Source organism: Homo sapiens, chromosome 14 (assembly GCF_000001405.40).
Source record: "Homo sapiens chromosome 14, GRCh38.p14 Primary Assembly".
Classification (NCBI taxonomy): Eukaryota; Metazoa; Chordata; class Mammalia; order Primates; family Hominidae; genus Homo; species Homo sapiens.
The window spans coordinates 72,989,118-73,012,607 of NC_000014.9; the positions used below are offsets into that span (position 1 = coordinate 72,989,118).

Genomic DNA, 23,490 nt, shown 5'->3' on the forward strand with positions numbered 1-23,490 from the left:
GGGTTTCACTATGTTGGCCAGGCTGCTCTTGAACTCCTGACCTCGTGATCTGCCTGTCTCAGCCTCCCAAAGTGCTGGGATTACAGGCATGAGCCACAGCACCCAGCCAGCATTTGCAATTTCTATAAGCATATATAATAAACTACTAATAATGGTTATCTGCAGAGTTAGAAAAGGACACTAGGCAGGGGAAAAGGATTTAACTTTACTATGATCCCATTTATTCAGGAAGAAAAACATACATTATAACATATATTTATGCATGTGCTTACACAGCAATAAAAATTTCTAGACACTTATGTGAGAAAGTATTAAGAGTTAGCTCTACAGACTGAGGAGGGGGGAGGTAGGGGAAGGAAAGGGGACTTAAGTCTCATACATTCTGCAGTACTTGAATTGTTTATCATGAATATGCATTGCTTTTATAATTTTTAAAATGACATCTCTGTTTTAATTAAAATAACCAAATACTCAAATATAACTGACAGTATGTATCAGGAACCTTTTAAAATGGTCCCATCCTCTGACCTCTTTAGAAGCGAAATAACTATTGGGAAGGAATACAGCATGAAGTTAAAAGCTCTTGGGGCCTGGTGCAGTGGCTGTGAGAGGCTGGAGTACAGTGAGCTGTGATCACACCACTGCACTCCAGCCTGGGCAACAGAGCAAGACCCTGTCTCAAAAGAAAAAAAAAGAAAAAGAAAAAAAGAAAGAAAAAATGGGAGATTCAAGAAATCAAACAAATTATTCTGACGTGTCATTTATCTGTTTATACCCACCCCAACTCTTTTATCTCAAAAGGACTCAAGGCTACTAATAAAAAAAAATTAATACAACAGCATAAAACAAAATAAAAACAAGTGGAGAAGAAAAGACAGCCATTTATATTATACACTGCTATGAACTATGAAAACTTTAGTTAGAGTCTATTTTAACAATAAAACTCTACTTGGTCAATTTGCCTAAGGCAGACCTTAAAAGTGGCTATTAGAGTGATAACCAGAGAATTAAGCATTTTTAATTTAAAGGATGTTTAAAACAAAAAAGTACAAAACCAATTTTTTCAAAGATTTGGGTAAACTGCAACAACTGCAAAATTCTCTAGGGAGAACCCAAATCACAAGCTTAAACAAATTGACTCCTTCCCATAGACAAAAGAATTCAGTCCCATAGCTCAGTATAACACAGCCCCTATACCTCAGAGAATAGAAAATATCAGATCTCGGTGAAATTTTGAGGATGCCAGTTACCAGGAATCATCAGAATTCCAGCTGAACAGGTTCTTTTTTTTTTTTTGAGATGGAGTTTCGCTCTTCTTGCCCAGGCTGGAGTGCGGTGGCAAGATCTCAGCTCACTGCAACCTCCGCCTCTCAAATTCAAGCAATTCTCCTGCCTCAGCCTCCTGAGTAGCTGGGATTACAGCCACGCACCACCACGCGCAGCTAATTTCGTATTTTTAGTAGAGACGTGGTTGCTCCATGTTGGTCAGGCTGGTCTCGAACTCCCAACCTCAGGTGATCCATCTGCCTCCTGAAGTGCTGGAATTAAGGGCGTGAGCCACCGCACCTGGCCTTTTTTTTTTTTTTTTTTTTTTTTTTGAGAGGGAGTCTAGGTCTGTTGCCTGGGCTAGAGTACAGTGGCGCACTGTACTCGGCCCACTGCAACCTCCACCTCCCAGGTTCAAGTGATTCTCCTGCCTCAGCCTCCCTAGTAGCTGGGATTACAAGAGTCTGCCACCACGCCCAGCTAATTTTTGTATTTTTAGTAGAGACAGGTTTCACCATGTTGGCCAGGCTGGCCTCGAACTCCTAGCCTCACGTGACCTGCCCACCTCCGCCTCTCAAAGTGCTGGGAATGATTACAGGCATGAGCCACCTCACCCGACAGACCAGGTTCATTTTAATCGCAGAAAGCTTGGTGACGCTTACCACCTCGGAAGAATACAGTCTAACTATTTTTCTCAAAGCCAGTAATAAATTGGCCTGAGGTAGGACATCCAAGACTTCTGAGGGGAAAAATCCCTGAGCACTAATTACAGTTTACAGTGCTCAGTGTCCCTGATGGTATTTTTTTTTTTTTTTTTTTTTTTTGAGACGGAGTCTCGCTCTGTTGCCCAGGCTGGAGTGCAGTGGCGCCATCTCGGCTCACTGCAAGCTCCGCCTCCCGGGTTCACGCCATTCTCCTGCCTCAGCCTCCCAAGTAGCTGGGACTACAGGTGCCCGCTACCACACCCGGCTAATTTTTTGTATTTTTAGTAGAGACGGGGTTTCACCGTGTTAGCCAGGATGGTCTCGATCTCCTGACCTCGTGATCCGCCCGCCTCGGCTTCCCAAAGTGCTGGGATTACAGGCGTGAGCCACCGCGCCCGGCCCCTGATGGTCTTACTTAAACATTAATCTGGGTTAGCTTCCAGAAGAGCAAAGGAGCTGCTATAATCCAGCCTCTGGCCTATTTGCCTTATAATGCACAGTGATCAGATTTACAGCCCCTTTGCCTGATTCAGCGTCTTTTCAGAATGTTTGCATTAGGTAAGCGTCATCTTCCGTTTTCACTGCCTTTGAGCCACTACAAGGACATTATTAGCCAATACAACTAAGTGCACTTGAACTTCAAATTCTAACTGGAAATGTATGTATTTCATGAATTATTCAAATGTAATCATTTTCAATAGTTTTTCCTTAATATTATTCACAATTAACATTCACTGAACATTTTTACTATATAACAAGTACTTTGTCTCTTAAGTATGCTTTCATTTAATCCCCACCTCTCTTTAAGAGGCCAAATCTCCCTCTTTTTTTTTTTTTGAGACAGCATCTCGCTCTGTCTCCCAGGCTGGAGTGCAGTGGGACAATCTCGGCTCACTGCAACGTCTGCCTCCCGGATTCAAGCAATTCTCCTGCCTCAGCCTCCCAAGTAGCTAGGATTACAGGAGTGCGCCACCATGCCCGGCTAATTTTTTTGTATTTTTAGTAGAAAGGGGGTTTCACCATGTTGGCCAGGCTAGTCTCAAACACCTGACCTCAAGTGATCCACCCGCCTCGGCCTCCCAAAGTGCTGGAATTACAGGCGTGAGCCACCACGCCTGGCTGTAAATCTCCCTCTTAAAGAAAGAAAAAACAGGACCCAGTCTCAGAACCTTCCATGCGTAATAGTCTCTAGCTAAGGAATAATAGGCGATTTTATTTGTTGAGAGGCAGTACAGGCTTTGTGGTTATGAGAAGGAGCTCTAGCGTAAACTGGCCAGGTGTTAGGCCTGCTGTCACTCACCAACTGTGTATAACCAATTACTACATCTCTTGGTGCCTCCGTTTCCTCATCTGTAAATGAGGATGTTAACAGTACTTAACTCATGGAGTTGGTGTAAGGATTAAGTGAACTAATCCATACAGAGTACTCTGAACTTTGGTATATAACAAATAGTAGTGTTATTGTGTATCTATTTTTGTGTTTTGTTTTGGTAATTTTCTACCTCTGGGGGGAGGTCCCATTCAGGTGCCCCCCCCGCCCCTTGCAAGAGAGAGAGAGCTGTTCTTTCTCTTTCTTTTGCCTATCAAACCTCTGCTCCTAAACGCCCCCCGAACAAAAAACAATTTCTACCTGTGATACTAGTTTTCCGCTTATAGTGATAACAAAAAGTTTCCTCTATGAATAAATTAATTTAAATAAGAAAAAAACAGTGAGTCAATGTTAAGAAAAGCATAAAGGCTGTCCAGATTAAGTGAGACTCAACATGACACCAACTCACCAGGGCTGAGCCACACCAGCCAGAAATGAGTGCCTGGTTTTTCTCCTAGCTGAGGACCGGGCACTTTTTTTACTATCACATATGACTTCCCCATATTTGCACTCCTGGCAAGATGAAAGCATCTGACAGGTGCGGACTCCATTCATGTGCTTCCGCTTCTTATAACCTCTTTCCACCCAGATTTCCAATCACCAGCACCACAAAAGCTGGCGAACTGAGTGTTCTCACCACCCACTGGCACCCCAATGAGAAGCCCTTGGGGCACAAGCCAACTGACCTTCAGGGCTTTGAAGATGACTCCCGGGTGCCGGGGAGAACGGGTGGTGTTATTCTCTAGTAGCTGCTCCAAAGCACGCCGAAGCCCAGAAAAGTCCGTGGGAGGGTTGTAAGTCCTCGTTCCCTTGTAGTGAATGGAACTAAAGGCTTCAGGGAAACGGCCCAGCTTCCGGAACCGGTCCTGGATGAGCTTCTCTGGCACCTCTGAGGGATGATCTATACAAGCAGAAACACAGGCACATGGGTAGTGAGTGACATTTAAAAAAAAAAAAAAAAGTAGGCCAGGCACGGTGGCCCACACCTGTAACCCTAGCACTTTGGGAGGCCAAGGTGGGTGGATCACCCGAGGTCAGGAGTTCAGCCTGGCCAACATGGTGAAACCCTGTCTCTACTAATAATACAAAAAAATTAGCAGGGCGTGGTGGCGCATGCCTGTAATCCCTACTAGTCCAGAGGCTGAGGCAGGAGAATCGCTTGAACCCAGGAGGCGAAGGTTGCAGTAAGCTGAAATCGCACCACTGCACTATAGCCTGGGAGACAAAAGTGACTCTATCTCAAACAACAACAACAAAAATCTTTCATTATAAAAGTAAGATACGAGGCTGGGTGCGGTGGCTCACACCTGTAATCCCAGCATTATGGGAGGCCGAGGCAGGTGGATCACCAGGTCAAGAGATGGAGACCATCCTGGCAACATGGTGAAATGCCATCTCTACTAAAAATACTAGCCAAGCGTGGTGGCAGGTGCCTGTAATCCCAGCTATTCAGGAGGCTGAGGCAGGAGAATCACTTGAACCTGGGAAGTGGAGGTTGCAGTGAGCCAAGATCGCGCCACTGCACTCCAGCCTGGCGACAGAGAGAGATTCCGTCTCAAAAAAAAAAAAAAAAAAGTAAGATACGGGAGGGTGCAGTGGTTCACACCTGTAATCCCAGCACTTTGGGAAGCTGAGGTGGGTGGATCACCTGAGGTCGGGAGTTCGAGACCAGCCTGGCCAACGTGGTAAAACCCCATCTCTACTAAAAATACAAAAATTAGTCGGGCCTAGTGGTGCACGCCTGTAATCCCAGCTACTCAGGATGCTGAGGCAGAAGAATTGCTTGAACCTGGGAGGCAGAGGTTGCAGTGAGCCGGGATCGCACCACTGCACTCCAGCCTGGGAGACAGAGCGAGACGCTGTCTCAAAAAAAAAAAAAAAAAAAAAAAAAAAGTAAGATACTCTGACTCAATGTACATGAAGTACATAAGCAGGCAGAGCTGATCTATGCTGTGAGAACTCAGGTTACCCTTTCCTGGTAAAGGACATGAGGAGGGCTTCTATGAGGAGGGCTGGTGTCCTATGGTCTAGCATTGAGTACGCAGGGGCATTCAGGCAGTGAAAACTCATCACATGATACCTTGATATGATACGCACTGTTCTGTATGCACATTACACTTCAAGGAGGAGTCTTTTTTCCCAAAAACCCATTCATTGGAAAAATCTAGATATGCCAAAGCATAAAAGGAAAGAAATTATGTCCTCTGCTCTCACCTACTTCCCGAAAGTAACCACAGCTCAATATTGGCCCTTTCAGACATTTTTCCTACAGACTTAGCAACATATATATGCAACTTGCTCTTTTCTCACTTAATAACATACTGTAAGTACCTGTCCTTGTCACAATACACTCAAAAGCAGCAATACAGTCTTCGATCCTGTGGATATACTTAACTAATCACCTTCCTGATGAACTTTTACAATTCTCTGTACTTTGAAAATTCTGGTCTTTTGTGAGGAAGCTCTGGGCAAACTACCAATGTATAAGGGTATTTGCTTGCCCACACTCTCATCATTTGTCCAGAAACTTGGGCAGCCATAGCACAGATGGATTCAATAAATGTATCGGTGATAAAGGTTGAAAGGACTTTTTAATTTCCTTTTTATTTATTTATTTATTTATTTACTTACTTACTTAATTACTTACTTTTTGAGACGAAGTCTCACTCTGTTGCCCAGTCTGGATGGAGTGCAGTGGTGCAATCTCGGCTCACTGCAACCTCCACCTCCAGGGTTCAAGCGATTCTCCTGCCTCAGCCTCCTGAGTAGCTGGGATTACAGGTGCCCACCACCATACACTTGACTAATTGTTGTATTTTTAGTAGAGACAGGGTTTCACCATGTTGGCCAGGCTGGTCTCAAACCCCAAACCTCAAGTGATCCGCCCACCTTGGCCTCCCAAAGAGCTGGGACCACAGGTATGTACCACTGCAACTGGCTAACTTTTTAATGTTTTTGTAGAGTCAGAGTCTTGCTATTTTGCCCAGGCTGGTCTCAAACTCCTGGGCTCTAGTGATCCTCCCGCCTCAATGTCCCAAAGTGCTGGACTATAGGCAGAAGTCATCGTGCTCAGCCTAAAATACAATAACTTTTCAGGGGCTGGTTACTTCAAAATCCTGAACTGGCAATTAAACCTTCCCCTCACTAAAACTGTAAAGATCCAAAGTGGCATAAAAGTATTGATCACAGGAGGCAGCTGAAAGTCAGCATTTGTCACCTCCTCTCCTTATCTTCGAGGCACTTGCTAATTAATCTGCTCCTTCACTGGGGAACATTTACATGTATTATCTTCTATAGGGCATGTGTCATTGGTACCACCAGAATCAACTGGTGCCAGGTCCTTCAGATTCAACCTCCTTTATGGCCTACTCTGTGCACTTCCCTCCTACTGCCACTGCCCTGGCTGAATCCCAACCACTTCTCACTTGAGTGACTTGATATCCTGCTGACTGGTCCCCCTGCCTCAGTCATCCTGCAATAGGCTGCCAGGGAATCTTTTGAAAATATAGATCTGGCCATCTAACTCTCTGCTTAAGATCCTTCATGGACTCCTGCCATACTTGAGAACTGAGTCAAGGCCACCCATGATCTGATCCCTGAGTCTCTCCATCATTCCCTCCCACACAAGCCATGCTTCAAACATGGCAGTCGGGGTGGCAGGGGAGGGGCTGCATTCAGTGGGCAGGGGGAGAATGAAAAGGGGTAACTAAAGGAGGTCAGAGACAAAGGTAGGAGTTAAAGTGATGGCACTACATTTAGGAGTTTGGATTTTGATGTAGTCAAAAGCCACTGACAAGGCTGCAAGCAGAAGTATACATGATCTGAAGTGTAAATTAAGCTTTTGAAAAGATCACATTGGATGCTACATGGAGAATGCATTGAAGGGAGTTAGAATGGAATTTTGGAAGTTATTGCAGAACTACTTCCCTTGTCTCTTTTTTCTTTCCTTCTTTTTTTGAGACAGGGTCTCACTATTGCCCAGGCTGGAGTGCAATAACACGATCACAGCTCACTGCAGCCTCAACCTCTCAGGCTCAAGGGATCCTCCTGCCTTGGCCTCCCAAAGTGCTGAGATTACAGGTGTGAGCCACCACACCCAGCCCTACCTGCAGTTCTCTGAACGCAATTTGTTCCTTGAAGCTACTAGGAGTTTGCTCTTCCTAGAGCATCTTCTTCCCCTCCTCCATCTAGCCAAGTCTCTCAGAGCTCAAATGTCGCCTCTTCTTTCCTAGATTCCATAAGGTGTAGTGTCCTTGCTCTGGACTCCCACAGCACCGTACCTGTAAGTACGGAGGTATGCACAGAACACCGTGCGGTCGCCCCAACTAGACTGTGAGCTCTTCAAAGACAGGAAGTGTTTTTTCTGCTCTGTGCCTCAGTGCTCAGCACATGACATATGCACTCAATAAACTTTGATGACCGAATGAACAAGTGAAGATTGCAATTGTTTCAGGAGCCAAATTTACTGCTCCCCTCCTATCTAATCTGTTATTGCACCTTTCCCCCATCCTCCTACCACTCAGGTGACAATCTTGCTTCCTATTTCTCTAAGAAAACAAATAAGAACTTACACACACACGTCCCATGTCCACATCCATCTTCTTATCTGCGACCGTGTCCATATTGTCTACTTTCTTTCCCATTGTTATGGATGAACTGTCCGTGGTCCTAAGGCCGACCCTTCCACTCATGCATCACTCCAACTGTTCCTGCTCTCTTACATCTACATTCTTCCCTCTCTAATGAATCATTCTCATCAGTACATAAATATCTGCAATACGTCACATCTTAAATTTTAAAAAAGAAAAATCCCTTGAAATCCCACATCAGCCTCCAGCTACAATCTCATTGTTCTTCTTTGCTTTACAGAACTCTGTCAAAGAATTGAATAAAGTAATTCTTCTCCTAATCTTATTTTTTTTTTAGAGACATAGCCTCACTATGTTGCCCAGGCTGATCTCTAACTCTTGGGCTCAAGGGATTCTCCCACATGAGCCTCCCAGGTAGCTAGAATTACAGGCACTTGCCACTGTACCTGGCTTCCTCCTATTTTCTCTTGATCTCACTCTGATCAAGCTTTTACCCCCCACCATCTCAGGGAACAGGTCTTATCCAGATCACTAAGGACTTATATATTGCCAAAGCCAATTGGCAATTCTCAATCCTTATGCTAGTTGACCTATAAGCAGATTGACATGTTTGATCACTCCATCCTCCTTGAAACACTTTCTATGTCTTCTTTGGACAGAAATCTTTCTGGGCAATCCACTACCAACAAGTTGCTATTGCAGACCAAATAGCTGCCTCCTTGTACCCATAAAGGTTGAGCTGTGACACTGTACCCCATCTCTCACCAGAGCCCAGTAGCTGGGTGTGCACGGTCTCATGGAAGATGATAACTGCAGGGCCCAGTGTGGATAAAGGGACATCCAGGCCACAGCGAGCAGTGGTGGCCTTGAGCTCCTTGGTGAAGTGCTTCAGATAAGCTTCTGAGGCATCCCCAAGGAATTTGAAGAGGTCGTTATGCAGCCGGTCTGCATGAGTTCGATAGATGACGAGGTCTGAGATGGCCAGGACCTTAAGCAGCAGCCGTGTTCTCTGGCTTAGATTCACGGTGGCCCCCAGGAGCCCTTCCGTATCGATCACTGCTACTTTGTGAACTGGGTCATAGGCTGCCCACACTCCCACAGTGCAGGACTCCTGGGTCGGGGAGGTTTTAAAGACTTCACGACCATAAAAGAAAGTGTGGTTGAGAGTATGAGACTTTCCATCACCAGTATTTCCAAAAATGGAAACCACTTTCAGATGCTGATCAGGTTTGCAGTCCAATTTTCTAATAAAGTCTTCTTCATTTGTTACCTGCAAAAAAAAAAAAAAAGACCATGAAATACAGAAACTGTAAAAGCACTAGAAACACCTACAAGAAGAAGTGCTTCCCAAGGACAAGGAACTTGATTGAATTGTCAAAGAAAGGAAGTCACAGGATAATAGCTCCCCACCTCCACCCTTAGCAAACAGCTCAAAGGAACCTCTGAAGCTTTAGTCAGGGAAATAACTTAGTGGCCAAAAGAGCTAAAACTATAAAAAGAAAAAGAAAAGAAAAGAAAAGAAAAAAACAAAAAAAAGGAGCTAAAACCGTAAAACTCTTAGAGGAAAACAAAGTAATTAACCTTTGTGACTTTGGATTAGTCTATAGTTCCTTAGATAGGACAACACAAGCACAAGTAACAAAAGAAAAAACAGATAAGGCCAGGTGTGGTGGTTCACGCATGTAACAGTGGCACTTCAGGAGGCTGAGGAGGGAGGATCCCTTGAGCCCAGAAGTTTGAGGCTGCAGTGAGCTATGACAGTGCTACTGCACTCCAGCATGGGCAACAGAATGAGACCCTGCCTCAAAAAAAAAAAAGAAAGGGGGGTGGGGCCAAGTGAGGTGACTCAGGAGTCCAAGACCAGCCTGGGCAACATGGTGAAATCCTGTCTCTGCTAAAAATTTTAAAAATATTAAAAATTTTAAAATAATAACTAAATAAAAAGAAAAAATAGATAAATTAGACTTGATCTAGCCAGGAGCAGTGGCTATAATCCCAACACCTTGAGAGACCAAGGCAGGAGAACTGCTTGAGCCTAGGAGTTCAAGTGCAGTCTGGCAACGTAACAAGACCCTGTGTCACTACAAAAAATAAAAAATGAGGCCGGGTGCGGTGGCTCACACCTGTAATCCCAACACTTTGTGAGGCCAAGGCAGGCAGATCCCCTGAGGTCAGGAGTTCAAGACCAGCCTGACCAACATGGACAAACCCCATCTCTACAAAAATACAAAATTAGCTGGGCATGGTGGCACATGCCTGTAATCCCAGCTACTCAGGAGGCTATGGCAGGAGAATCACTTGAACCCGGGAAGCAGAGGTTGCAGTGAGCAGCGATCGCACCATTGCACTCCAGCCTGGGCAACAAGAACGAAACTCCATTTCAAATCAATAAATAAATACATAGCTGAGTGCATGCCTGTAGTCCCAGCTACTGCAGAGGCTGAGGTGGGAAGATGGCTCAAGCCCAGGAGTTGGAGGTTACAGTGAACTGTGATCCAGACTGGATGACAAAGTAAGACCTTGACTCAAAAAAAAAAAAGACAATGAAAAGACAACTTACAGAATGGAAGAAAACATTTGTAGATCAAATATCTGATAAGGAGCCAGGCATGGTGGCATCCATTTGTAATCTCAGACACTCAACAAGGCTGAGGCAAGAGGATCACTTGAGCCCAGGAGTTTACAGCCACCCTGGGAAACAGTGTCATCCGCCTCATTAAAATAAACAAAGAGGCGGGGCATGGTAGCTCATGTCTGTAATCTCAGCACTTTGGGAGGCCCAGAGGGGCAGATCGCGTGAGGCCAGGAGTTCGAGACCAGCCTGGCCAACATGGTGAAACCCCCGTCTCTACTAAAAACACAAAAATTAGCAGAGTGTGGTGGCACATGCCTGTAATCCCAGCTACTCGGGAGGCTGAGGCAGGAGAATTGCTTGAACCCGGGAGGCAGACTGCAGTGAGCCGAGATTGTGCCACTGCACTCCAGTCTGGGTGACAGAACAAGAACCTGTCTCAAAAAATAAAATAAGATAAAATAAAATAAAATAAATCTAATAAGACTAGTATTCCAAACATACAAAGAAATCTTACAACTCAACAATGAAGATAAGCAACCCAATTAAAAAGTAAGCAAAGAATTTGAATAGACATTTCTCCATAAAAGATATGCAAGCAACCAATAAGCATCTGAAAAGATGCTCCAAGTCCTGAGTCATTAGAGAAATGCAAAGCAAAACTACAGTGAGCTATCACTTCATATCCACAAGACAACAAACGGCTGGGAGCAGTGGCTCAGGCCTATAATCCCAGTACTTTGGGAGGCAAAAAAGAGAGGATAGCTTGAGGCCAGGAGTTTGAGACCAGCCTGGCCAACATGGTGCGACCTCTGTCTCTATAAAAAAAATTAAAAATTAGCTGGGCATGGTGGTATGCGCCTGTAATCCTAGCTACTCAGGAGGCTGAAGCAAGAGGATCGTTTGAGCTCAGGAGTTCGAGGCTACAGTGAACCATGACTGCACCACTCCACTCCAGGATGGGTGACAGAGAGAAGCTCTGTCTCTAAAGAAAAAAAAAAAAAAGACAACAAGCATTGGCAAGGATGTACAGAATCACAATGTTCATGCACTTCTGGTGGGAACGTAAAATCACATAGCCAGTCCGGAAAACAGCTTGTCCACATCTAGCTATATACCCAAGAGAACTGAAAACACATGTCCACACAAATCTTCTAAGTACATCAATGTTCACAGCAGCATTATCCATAACAGCCAAAAAAGTGAAAACAGCCCAATACCCATCCACTGATAAAATGTGGTATATCCACACACTGAGTTACCACGCAGCCATAAAAAGGAAGGAGCCACTTCCACCCCTTGCTTCAATATGCGTCGGTTATTCTCACCTTTGGGGCATTTCTTACACGTGCTCTTACTTTGACCTGACTTGGCAGAAATTCCTATCTATGCCTTGATTGTTTTCTGTCATGACTGTGCCACTTCCTCCTTTCAGTCTTCCTAAACCTTTGCTTCTTAAACTTCAGAGGGGGCTTTGAATGCTACGCAAGACTGCATATTCCTGCTGTTGCAAAATGTTGTTTATTTATTGAAGTAATATCTACTGACCTAGTATTGGTTGTTTTTTTCTTTTTTTCACTATACTATTTCCCTATTGACTTGTTAGATTGGTCAGAAAATAGATAAACTAGCAAATTTGAAGGGAATCATACATCTGAAAGATTCTATTGGAAATTGTGTCCTGAATCATTTCAATTAGCTTTTTAGTGGAGAAAAACTATTACGATAGCAGATTTTCCTAAAATCCACAGTAGTCTTTAAGTTTCACATACTTAACCTTAGACTGAAAGAATGAGAAAAGCATGTAAAATACCGTCACATTTCTCTTATTCTAAAGACATTGTCTATGGCCATACCCCACTGAACACACCGGATCTCATCTAAAGATGAGAAATGCTTTTCACGATTATAATTATAGAATTTGTAATATTCTGTATATTTCCAAAGTATTAATAATCCTACCCTCCAAATGTGCTTATAACCTGGACAAGTGAGAGTTCTGTACCTACCTCCCACCCCCAATTATCATATGGAGAGGCTAAATTGCAAATATTTTCCCTAGAGAAATAATACAAATTTCGGCTGGGCGCAGTGGCTCACACCTGTAATCCCAGCACTTTGGGAGGCTCGAGACCAGCCTGACCAACATGGAGAAACCCCGTCTCTACTAAAAATACAAAATTAGCCAGGCGTGGTGGCACATGCCGGTAATCCCAGCTACTCGGGAGGCTGAGACAGGAGAATCGCTTGAACCCAGGAAGCAGAGGTTGCAGTGAGCTGACATCACACCATTGCACTCCAGCCTGGGCGACAAAGCGAGATTCAGTCTCGAAAAAAAAAGAAAAAGAAAAAGAAAGAATACAAATTTCACTGTTACCTAATAACATTTAGGTAGAAATGCTGGGAAAACATTTTTGTGAAATGAACGTAGCTGGCTATCAAATAATATTTGCTTGACACTACTGGGGTAACAACAACAAAAAAGAATGAAGTGCTGATACATGCTACAACACAGATAACCCTTGAAAACATGGTAAGTGAAAGGAGCCACAATCAAAAGACCACATAGTGTACGACTCCATTTATATGAAACGTCCAGAGCAGGCAGATTCATAGACAGCAAGTAGATTAGTGGTTGCTAGAGGAAGGAGGGAGGAGGGAGAGACTGCTAAAGCTGGGTTTCTATTTGGAAAGATGAAAATATTCCAGAATTAGATAGTGGTAAGGACTGTACAACTTTATGAACATACTAAAAATACTGAATTATATACTTTAAACTGGTGAATATTATGGTATGTGAATTACATCTCAATACAGTTTTTGGTTTTGGTTTTGTTTTTTTTGAGACGGAGTTTTTGCCTGTTGCCCAGGCTGGAGTGCAGTGGCATGATCTTGGCTCACTGCAACCTCCACCTCCTGGGTTTAAGTGATTCTCCCGCCTCAAACTCCCGAGTAGCTGGGATTACAGGCATGCGCTGTCATGCCCAGCTAATTTTTGTATTTTTAGTAGCCCAGGGTCAAAGCTCCTGATTCAAAGAGCTTATGGCTACTGCAGCCAAAGGAGTGAGGAAGCTTCACATCAAGTATCTTCCAGCCAACAGAGAATAAAACACGTTGCTTTTTCTTTTTTTTTTTTTTTTCTGAGACAGAGTCTAGCTCTGTCGCCCAGGCTGGAGTGCAGTGGCGCAATCTCAGCTCACTGCAAGCTCCACCTCCCAGGTTCACGCCATTCTCCTGCCTCAGCCTCCAGAGTAGCTGGGACTACAGGCGCCCGCCACCACGCCCGGCTAATTTTTTGTATTTTTTAGTAGAGATGGGGTTTCAGCGTGTTAGCCAGGATGGTCTCAATCTCCTGACCTCGTGATCCGCCCGCCTCGGCCTCCCAAAGCACTGGGATTACAGGTGTGACCACCGTGCCCAGCCCTTTTTTTCTTTTCTTTTTTTTTTTTTTTTTTGAGACAGGATCTCACTCTGTCACCCAGGCTGGAGTCCAGGGGCACAATCTCAGCTCACTGCAACCTCCGCCTTCTGGATTCAAGCCATTCTCCTGCCTCAGCCTCCAGAGTAGCTGGTACTACAGGCACATGTCACCACACCCAGCTAATTTTTTTTGTACTTTTAGTAGAGATGGGATTTCGCCATGTTTGCCAGGCTGGTCTCAAACTCCTGACTTCAGGTGATCTGCCTCTCCACCTCCCAAAGTGCTGGGACTATAGAGGTGAACACCTTGCTGATTCTCAAGAGTCTGCTGGTTTGATAACAGAGAAATATACAGACCACTCAGTGTGAAAATATGATAAACCTTTGTTTCCTATAATCTCATCAAGATAGTAAACCAAATCCCCGTGCTTTGGGAGGCCAAGACGGGAGGATCGCTTGAGCCCTGGAATTCAAGACTACCTTAAGCAACATAGCAAGACCCCAACTCTACAAAATCAAAAAATTAGCTGGGCGTAGTGGTTCACGCCTATAGTCCTAGCTACTCAGGAGGCTGGGACAGGAGAATCACTTGAGCCCAAGAGGTGGAGGTTGCAGTGGGCCGAGATCGTGCCACTGCACTCCAGCCTGGGCAACAGAGCAAGACTCTAACTGGAAAAAAAAAAAAGTAAACCACTCATTATTATATTAATGACATCACTATTGTTTCATTATTAAGAGCCTGAATATTCCTGATAATACTAACAGTTCACTGAATGCCGGCTGCAGTGACAGTGCCCTTCACTACAGCCATGAGGGCAGGGCCGTGTCTACCTTATCTTTACATGCAGAGCACTCAGGACACCGCCTGGCACACAGGAGGAGCTCAGTGTACAGCTGCTGAGTGAATGAGTGAGTGAATAAACGCCAGGCACCTTGTTAGGTACCCAGGTACCTTAAACGCTTCTCCCATCATACATCTTCCACAGGGCTGAACACACAGCAGCATTTCATAAACTTGGTGATGGGCTAACCGATCTAGCAGACAACGGAGAGAAACAAGAAGTTACACAGAATAGCCCATTTTGGACCCGTGTCACTCAGCCAGCCTGGTTCCAAGCTGCTAAGTCGGCCAGCAAGAGAAACAAAACAAAAGCTCCGTAAAGCTCTACCGGCACGGAGTCAGGTGAGCTCAGGGTGGCTGCTGGAAGAGCCATCCACCTGCTCCACCAGGCCTGGTATGGAAGACCAGGCCTAGGGATTTTCTCCCCATGGAAATCTACTCTGTCGCGACTCTTTACAAACAAAACAGCCACTGCTATCCTGAGTATCTAAGAGCAGGCACCTGAAAGTGGGGACGGGGGAACATTTAGGTACAGAATTGAATGTCTCGGGATTCATATTAAGTGTCCACCAAATGATGTACTATATATATATATATAACTCATATGGGATGGAAAGAAAACACTCCTTGCCTGCATTTGGTGATACCACTTAGCCATTTGGTATTCGGGGGTATGTCCAATGTGGATGTCCATGTGTTGGGCCTATAGATGAGTCCAGTGCAAATAATACTCCTGGGAGGAGGAACTCAAAGCTCCAGGCTGTTTTTTCTACTGACAAGCAGTGAACAATCCCTTAACGTGCACCGACTGCATTTTCGTCATGTGAAAGGAGGCTAGGCCAGGTGCAGTGGCTCACACCTGTAATCCCAGCACTGTGGGAGGCCAAAGCAGATGGATCACTTGAGCCCAGGGGTTTGAGACCAGCCTTGGCAACCTAGCAAAACCCTATCTCTACTAAAAATACAAAAAATTGGCCAGGCGTTGCGGCACGTCCCTGTAATCTCAACTACTCAGGAGGCTGAGGTGGGAGAATTGCTTGAGCCTGGGGAGAGTTTGCAGTGAGCCGAGATCACGCCACTGTACTCCAGCCTGGGTGACAGTGAGACCCCGTCTCAAAAAAAAAAAAAAAAGGAGGCTATAACCATCTTTGCAGGTGCTAATTAACCAAATAAACAGATACGCAGGAAAATGCTGGCACACTGAAACCACACTTCTCTGGCACAGTTCTCTGCCTTTCATGTTACTTTGCTTCCTGATATACTACTAAATTCATCCTTAACACATGAGTATTTTTCCCTAAGCCAGAAAGGAGAGAACAGCCTAGCCTAGGTGGTAGCAAGACCGGTTTTCAGTCAGGGAGGGAAAGGCAGAGAAAAATAAGAAGATTCCCTTTGATGAGGGAAGGAAGGGCCCAGGAAGGAACGAAGCTCCAGCTCTACTTGTTCGGCTTGTCTACACTCAGTGACCCCATGGTGCTCCAATCCTGGAGTTAAATAGGTTACCTGGCCCTGAGCTCGGCCAACTGGCCACCCCATCCAAGTTGACAACATGTTTGAAATGGTCACTGGCCTTACCAACAGCAAACGCAGGAGGGATACCAAAGCCACCCCTCCCCAACTTTTGCCTTCCATCTTCCCCAAGCTTGCTAGGCCTCAGGCGAGTCCAAAACACCTGAATGCCACTACAGGCTTTGAAACCATGGTGTGGCCTTGGGAAAGTTACTTAACTACTCAACACCTCAGGGAAATGAGATAATAACAGATGTCCAGCTCCTAGCGACACTCAGCGGACTAAAAGAGATAAAGTATGTAAAAGGCATAGCACAGTGCCTGGCATGGAGTAAGCACTCGATACGTGAACCATTATTAAAGACCAGTCCACTGGGAAAACACCCAGGTGCACAGCAGCAGCAGCTGGGCTTGCACCTGTGAATTGCTCATTTGGGGGCTGATTCAGCAATGTAGTAAGATCTAAATGAATTCTACCTAAAATGAAAGAGCTCACTGCTTGCATCAGATAACCACCTCCTGCTAATCAAAACACATTTTTTTTTTTTTTATGAGACGGAGTCTCACTCTGTCGCCCAGGCTGGAGTGCAGTGGCACGATCTCAGCTCACTGCAAGTTCCGCCTCCCCGGTTCAGGCCATTCTCCTGCCTCAGCCTTTGGAGTAGCTGGGACTACAGGCCCGCCACCACGCCCGGAGAATTTTTTGTATTTTTAGTGGAGACGGGGTTTCACCGTGTTAGCCAGGATGGTCTCAATCTCCTGACCTCGTGATCCGCCCGCCTGGGCCTCCCAAAGTCCTGGGATTGTAGGCGTGAGCCACCGCGCCCGGCCAAAACACATTATTATTCATACTGGCTTTAGAGCTGGCTCTTAGTAACTATCTAATATTGTACTAATCTTTACGAGGCTGGGCGTGGTGGCTCACGCCTGTAATCCCAGCACTTTGGGAGGCCTAGGAAGGTTGATCACTTGAAGCAGGGAGTTCGAGACCAGCCTGGCCAACGTGGTGAAACCCCATCTCCACTAAAAATATAAAAATTAGCTGGGTGTGGTGGCACATGCCTGTAATCCCAGCTACTCGGGAGGCTAAGGCGGGAGAATCACTTGAACCCAGGAGGTGTAGGTTGCAGTGAGCCGAGATTGCACCACTGCTCTCCAGCCTGGCCAACAGAGTAAGACTCTGTCTAAAAACCTTTACAAAACCCAGCAGCACCTCCCTCTCTCCCTCCAATTCACCCAAAGCTTTTTACTTTGTATAGACTCCCAAGAAGAGTCTGTAAAATGAAATATAACTGTACTCAATGATCCCCCACCCCAGTTCCTTTTTTTTTTTTTTTTTTTTTTTTGAGACAGAGTCTAACTCTGTCGCCCAGGCTGGAGTGCAGTGCCGCAATCTTGGGTTACTGCAACCTCTGCTTCCCTGGTTCAAGCGATTATCCTGCCTCAGCCTCCTGAGTAGCTGGGACTACAGACACGTGCCACCATACCTAGGTAATTTTTTGTATTTTTAGTAGAGACAGGGTTTATGTTGTCCAGCTGGTCTCGAACTCCCTGATCTCAGGTGATCTGCCTGCCTTAGCCTCTCAAAGTGCTGGGATTACAGGGATAAGCCACTGCGCCCAGCCCCAATTTAGAATTCAGAATAGTTCATGGTAGTGAAAAGTGTCCAGCATCAACCTGCGACCCAAGCAGGCCAAGGGAATGATGATGTTCTCCCTCGAGAGATTCCTTCCAAGCCCTCACAGAATCATTCTAGAATGAAAGACCATGTACCGGCTCTGTTCCAAGGAGGCCTGAAAAGGGAAACCAAGAGGTGAGGAAGGAACTAAAGAGCCTTGGAAGGAAGGAAGTTCAACACAGCACAGTCAGAGATTCTAGAAGTTAAACCCCAACAAACCTGGAAAACACTCTTAAGAAAAGTAGTTTGGCACCAAGGTCTTTTCAGTACTGGCCCCTGGGAAAAACAGATTTAATCTGTACCAACTACAATCATACATTACTCCAATTTTTTTTTTCTAAAGACAGGTCTTGCTCTGTTGCCCAGGTTGGAATACAGTGATTCACTGCAGCCTCCACCTCTCAGGCTCAATCAATCTCCTGCCTCAGCCTCCTAGGTAGCTAGGAGGACTACTGGCGTGCACCACCATAGCTGGCTAAACTTATTTTTTGTAGAGACAGGGTCTCTCTATGTTGCCCAGGCTGGTCTTGAACTCCTGGCCTCAGGCAATACTCCTTCCTTGGCCTCCCAAAGCACTTGGGATTATAGGTGTGAGCCACTGAGCCCAACCCCATGGCCTAAATTTCAAACAGGATTTTACCTAAACTATGTCAAACAGATCAGTAACCAGTCTATTTTAAAGTCCAAATGATTAGATTTCTTCCAATAGCAAGGTTTAAGTTCTATTAAATCTGTTTCCTCAACACAGCAAGTTTAGAAAATTTCTTTTCATTCTATCCTAAAGGGTATGTATACCTCATGTCTATCCACGTACATGTTGCTAGAGTTTCACATAAAAACACAATCATTTCTCAATCAAATGTTTTCTGAAGACACTGAAGTCACGGGGTTGGTCTCACAAACACACTGAGCACATTTGGCAGGGGCAAAGATCACTTTCTTCCACTCTAGTGTCCCCAAAGTGTTCCATTACTTGAGAGGTCAGGAATTCCTCTCCATGTCTTATAACTACCAGTGGTGCTTCTGACACTATGCTTCACAGAGACTGCCTGCAGCTCCTCTCCTATCCTAGCAGAAATAAAAGTGTTTCTTTTTTTATTTTTTTGTGTGTGAGACGGAGTTTCACTCTTGTTGCCCAGGCTGGAGTGCAATGGCACGATCTCGGCTCACCGCAACCTCTGCCTCCCGGGTGCAAGTGATTCTCCTGCCTCAGCTTCCTAAGTAGCTGGGATTACAGGCATGTGCCACCACACCCAGCTAATTTTGTATTTTTAGTAGAGACGGGGTTTCTCCATGTTGGTCAGGCTGGTCTCGAACTCCTGACCTCAGTGATCCGTCCGTCTCAGCCTCCCAAAGTGCTGGGATTACAGGCGTAAGCCACCATGCCTGGCCTAATAAAAGTGTTTCTATGCAGAGATGGTCCACAAAAATTCTTTTTTTAAAAAAAGTCATTTTTAGCTCCCTGATCAGTTTCTTTGACCACATCCAACACACCCAGTTCAGCAATCCATTTATATCTGAATAAAAAGCTTTCCAAGGCAAAGATGAATTCTGAGGACACACTGGAAATACCGAGTCATCCCCAAGCCCCACCTCATCCTCAAGGGAACTTTCTGAGGAGCTTCTGGATGGGAGATGCAGCTGCCTTTTTAAGTGGCATAGCATATCCATATTTGGCCAGCTGTGAAAACAGATGTAAGCTCCAGTAAAGGCCTGTCAGTAAGCAGAATGGTCTTTCATTCTGGAATGATTCTGAGGGCTAAGAAAGGACTTAACAGTAAAAGCTAAGCTACACAAACCAGGCTAGAAAAGAGAGTTAGGTTTAAATCATACCCTGGGCAACTGACTCAACCCTTCTCTTGCTCAAAGCCTCCATTCCCACCCACCACCTCTGTTAACATTTTCCCACTCTTCCAGCGCTAAACACCCCAACTAGAATGTACTCCAGGCTGGCAGAGATATGGTCTGTGTTGTTCACTACCGTAACCTTAGCACAGTGCCTGACGCAAAATAGGAAATCAAGACACAATTGATCAATAAATGAATGAACACAGCACAAAATGTCTAGACGCTATATCCTCTGGGGGAGGGAATGGTATAGTATCACCATTAAAGGTTCAACCAACCTCACTCTATCATCCACTGACTTTAGGATAACTTTATTCAACCCCTCTGGGGCTCTGTTATTCACCTCTAAAATGAAGATAACAACACAATCTACTTCATAGGATTTCTGCAAAAATTAAATAAGATGATGTACATCAGGCACTTAGCACAGTGGAGGCCCAGAATAACTTGTAGTAAATGCTAGAGGCATGCTGACTGACATCATTGCTGCTTTGCCCCAAGCCAGAGTCATCACCATCAGCTGGAAATTTCATTATCCCAAGTAAAAGCTCTCCTTAGGGAGGCTGGGCGCGGAGGCTCACGCCTGTAATCTCAGCACTATGGGAGGCCGAGGCGGGAGGATCACAAGGTCAGGAGTTCGAGACCAGCCTGACCAACATGGTGAAACCCCCATCTCGACTAAAAATACAAAAATTAGGTGGGCGTGGTGGCACGTGCCTGTAATCCCAGCTACTCAGGAGGCTGAGGCAGGAGAATCACTTGAACCCAGGAAGCAGAGGTTGCAGTGAATGGAGATTGCACCACTGCACTCCTGCCTGGGCAACAGAGTGAGACTCCATCTCAAAACGAAACAAAACAAAACTCTCCTTTGGGAAGGTTTCCAATAAATGCTTCATTAAGGGAATAAGGATAGGCCGAGCATAGTGGCTCATGCCTTTAATCCCAGCAGTTCGGGAGGCTGAGACCGGAGCACTACTTGAGTCCAGGAATTAGAGACCAGCCTGGGCAATATCATGAGACCTCATCTCTACAAAAATCAATCAGTTAGCTGGGCATGGTGGTACATGCCTGTAGTTCCAGCTACCTGGGAGGCTGATGTGGGAGGATTGCTTGAGTTATGATGGTGCCACTGCACTCCAGCCTAGGCAACAGAGCAACATGTCTCAAAAAAAACAGAGAAATAGGGATAATTGAACAAGCAGGATCCTTATTCAATACTTAACACTCCTTCCCTCAAAAGGATGTATCTTTTGAATTAAAAAGAAACCTAGGCTGGCACAGTGGGTCACACCTGTAATCCCAGAACTTTTGGAGGCCAGAGGTGGGAGGATCACCTGAGGTCAGGAGTTTGAGACTAGGCTGGCCATCATGGTGAAACCCTGTCTCTACTAAAAATACAAAAAATTGGCCAGGTGCAGTGGCTCATGCCTGTAATCCCAGCACTTTGGGAGGCCAAGGCAGGCAGATCACCTGAGGTCGGGAGTTCGAGACCAGCCTGACCAACGTGGAGAAACCCCTTCTCTACTAAAAATACAAAATTAGCTGGCTGTGGTGGCACATGCTTGTAATCCCAGCTACTCAGGAGGCTGAGGCAGGAGAATCACTTGAACCGGGAGGCAAAGGATGCAGTGAGCTGAGATCGCACCATTGCACTCCAGCCTGGGCAACAAGAGTGAAACTCCGTCTCAAAAAAAAAAATGCAAAAAATTAGCCAGGCATGGTGGCACGCGCTTGTGATCCCAGCTACTCTGGAGGTTGAGGCAGGAGAATCGCTTGAACCGGGGAGGTGGAGGTTGCAGTGAGCTGAGATTGTGCCACTGCACTCCAGCCTGGGTGACAGAGCAAGACTCCATCTAAAAAAAAAAAAAAAAAAAAAAAACCACACACAAAACAAAAAAAAAAATTATAGAGTCAGGGTTGGACTCTTACATTTCATTGAAAATCCTTAAATAACAAATTATGTCAATATAGATTTAAATGCTTACTGTGTGTTACGTGGATACTGCATGAAGGATTTTACATATGTTTTTCTCAATCCCCAACCCCAATAACGTATAGATACTACTATAAATTCATTTTACAAAGGAACAAAAACCAAAGCTTAAAAGAAAAAGAAAAACCAAGGTTTTAAGTTAAATGAATTAGAATACTATAAGATTCACTTGAATCATGAGTAACTTATGACCAACTTAATCCCTTTCAAGTCCTCTGAATGTTTTTGGAAATAGCCTTTAAAAAAATTAAAAGCTCACTGTCTCAAAAAAAAAAAAAGAAAGAAAGAAACCCATATGGCTGGGGAGGTGGCTCACACCTGTAATCCCAGCCCTTTAGGAGGCCTAGGCGAGTAGATCACTCGAGGCCAGGAGGTTCGAGACCAGAATGGGCAACATGACAAAACCCCATCTCTACTAACAATACAAAAAATTAACCGGGAGTGGTGGCACATGCCTGTAGTCTCAGCTACTCAGGAGGCTGAGGTGGAAGGACGGCTTGAGCCAGGGAGGCGGAGGTTGCAGGGAGCTGAGATCACACCACTGCACTCCAGCCTGGGCAACAGAGTGAGACCCCTTCTCAAAAGATTGTTTTGTTTTATTTTTATTTTATTTTATTTTATTTTTATTTTTGAGATGGAGTCTTGCTCTGTCGCCCAGGCTGCAGTGCAGTGGCATGATCTTGGCTCACTGCAACTTCCACCTCCCAGGTTCAAGCGATTCTAGTGCCTCAGCCTTCCATGTAGCTGGGATTACAGGCGCCTACCACCATGCCAGGCTAATTTTTTTGTATTTTTAGTAGAAATGGGGTTTTGCCATGTTGGCCAGGCTGGTCTCAAACTCCTAACTTCAGGTGATCCACCTGCCTCTGCCTCCCAAAGTGCTGGGATTACAGGCGTGAGCCACCATGTCTGGCCTAAAACATTGTTTTAAGAGAAAAAAAAAAAGAAACCTATAATAAGATTGCATACATATATATATATATAAAATGCATAAGAAAACATTCAATCTTCTTCAAAAGAATGATATGGCCCAGTGTGGTGGCTCACGCCTGTAATCCCAGCTCTTTGGGAGGCCGAGGCAGAAGGATCATGTGAGGCCAGGACTTTGAGACCAGCCTGGGCAACATAGCAAGACCCCATCTCTATTAAAAATTAAAAAATAGCTGGACACTGTGGTTCATGCCTGAATCCCACTGATTTAATTTCTTAATTCATGAAACAAGTGGAGGGTTGGGGAGAAGCAAAGGGAAAGGTAGGGAGAGAAAGAAAGGAAAAGGGGAAGAGGTAGATAGGTTGTCTGTCAAATATCACAGATGTAGGTAACAGTTAACTGAGACATAAGGAAAAAAATTATAGTGCACCCAATGACCTACCAATTACAAACTAAACCCATGAGTCACCAGGCCAGAATGGGGATGCAAAAAGAACCAAGGGGCCAGGTACGGTGCCTCATGCTTGTAAACCCAACACTTTGGGAGGCTGAGGCGGGTGGATCACCTGAGGTCAGGAGTTCGAGACCAGCCTGACTAATGTCATGAAACCCTGTCTTTACTAAAAATAACAAAATTAGCTGGACGTAGTGGTGTGTGCCTGTAGTCCCAGCTACTTGGGAGGCTGAGACAGGAGAATTGCTTGAACCCAGGAGGCGGAGGTTGCAGTGAGCTGAGATAGTGCCACTGCACTCCAGCCTGGGCAACAGAG

At 45.2% G+C, this 23,490-nt stretch overlaps 1 protein-coding gene across 5 annotated transcripts in view, besides 1 other annotated feature; it reads right to left on the minus strand.

Annotated features, from left to right (window-relative positions):
• ZFYVE1 (zinc finger FYVE-type containing 1) overlaps nt 1-23,490 on the minus strand; it is a 57,662-nt gene that overhangs the window by 19,673 nt on the left and 14,499 nt on the right. For 3 of the 5 annotated variants that reach the window (NM_001281734.2, NM_021260.4, XM_047431481.1), the window contains exons 3-4: nt 8,694-9,198; nt 4,026-4,240 (exon numbers count right to left, since the gene is read on the minus strand). In NM_001281734.2, coding sequence (NP_001268663.1) covers nt 4,026-4,240; nt 8,694-9,198 — 720 coding nt within the window. Of the gene's footprint in view, nt 1-4,025; nt 4,241-7,910; nt 8,292-8,693; nt 9,202-23,490 lie in introns of those variants that run through there. The other 2 variants (XM_047431482.1, XM_017021373.2) reach the window with 2 other exon arrangements.
• Nucleotides 8,751-8,951: a silencer, noted in NCBI's record as "peak2195 fragment used in MPRA reporter construct". NCBI's record gives its function as "represses an SCP1 promoter by STARR-seq MPRAs in K562 erythroleukemia cells {active_cell/tissue: K562}" and the evidence as "EXISTENCE:reporter gene assay evidence [ECO:0000049][PMID:32103011]".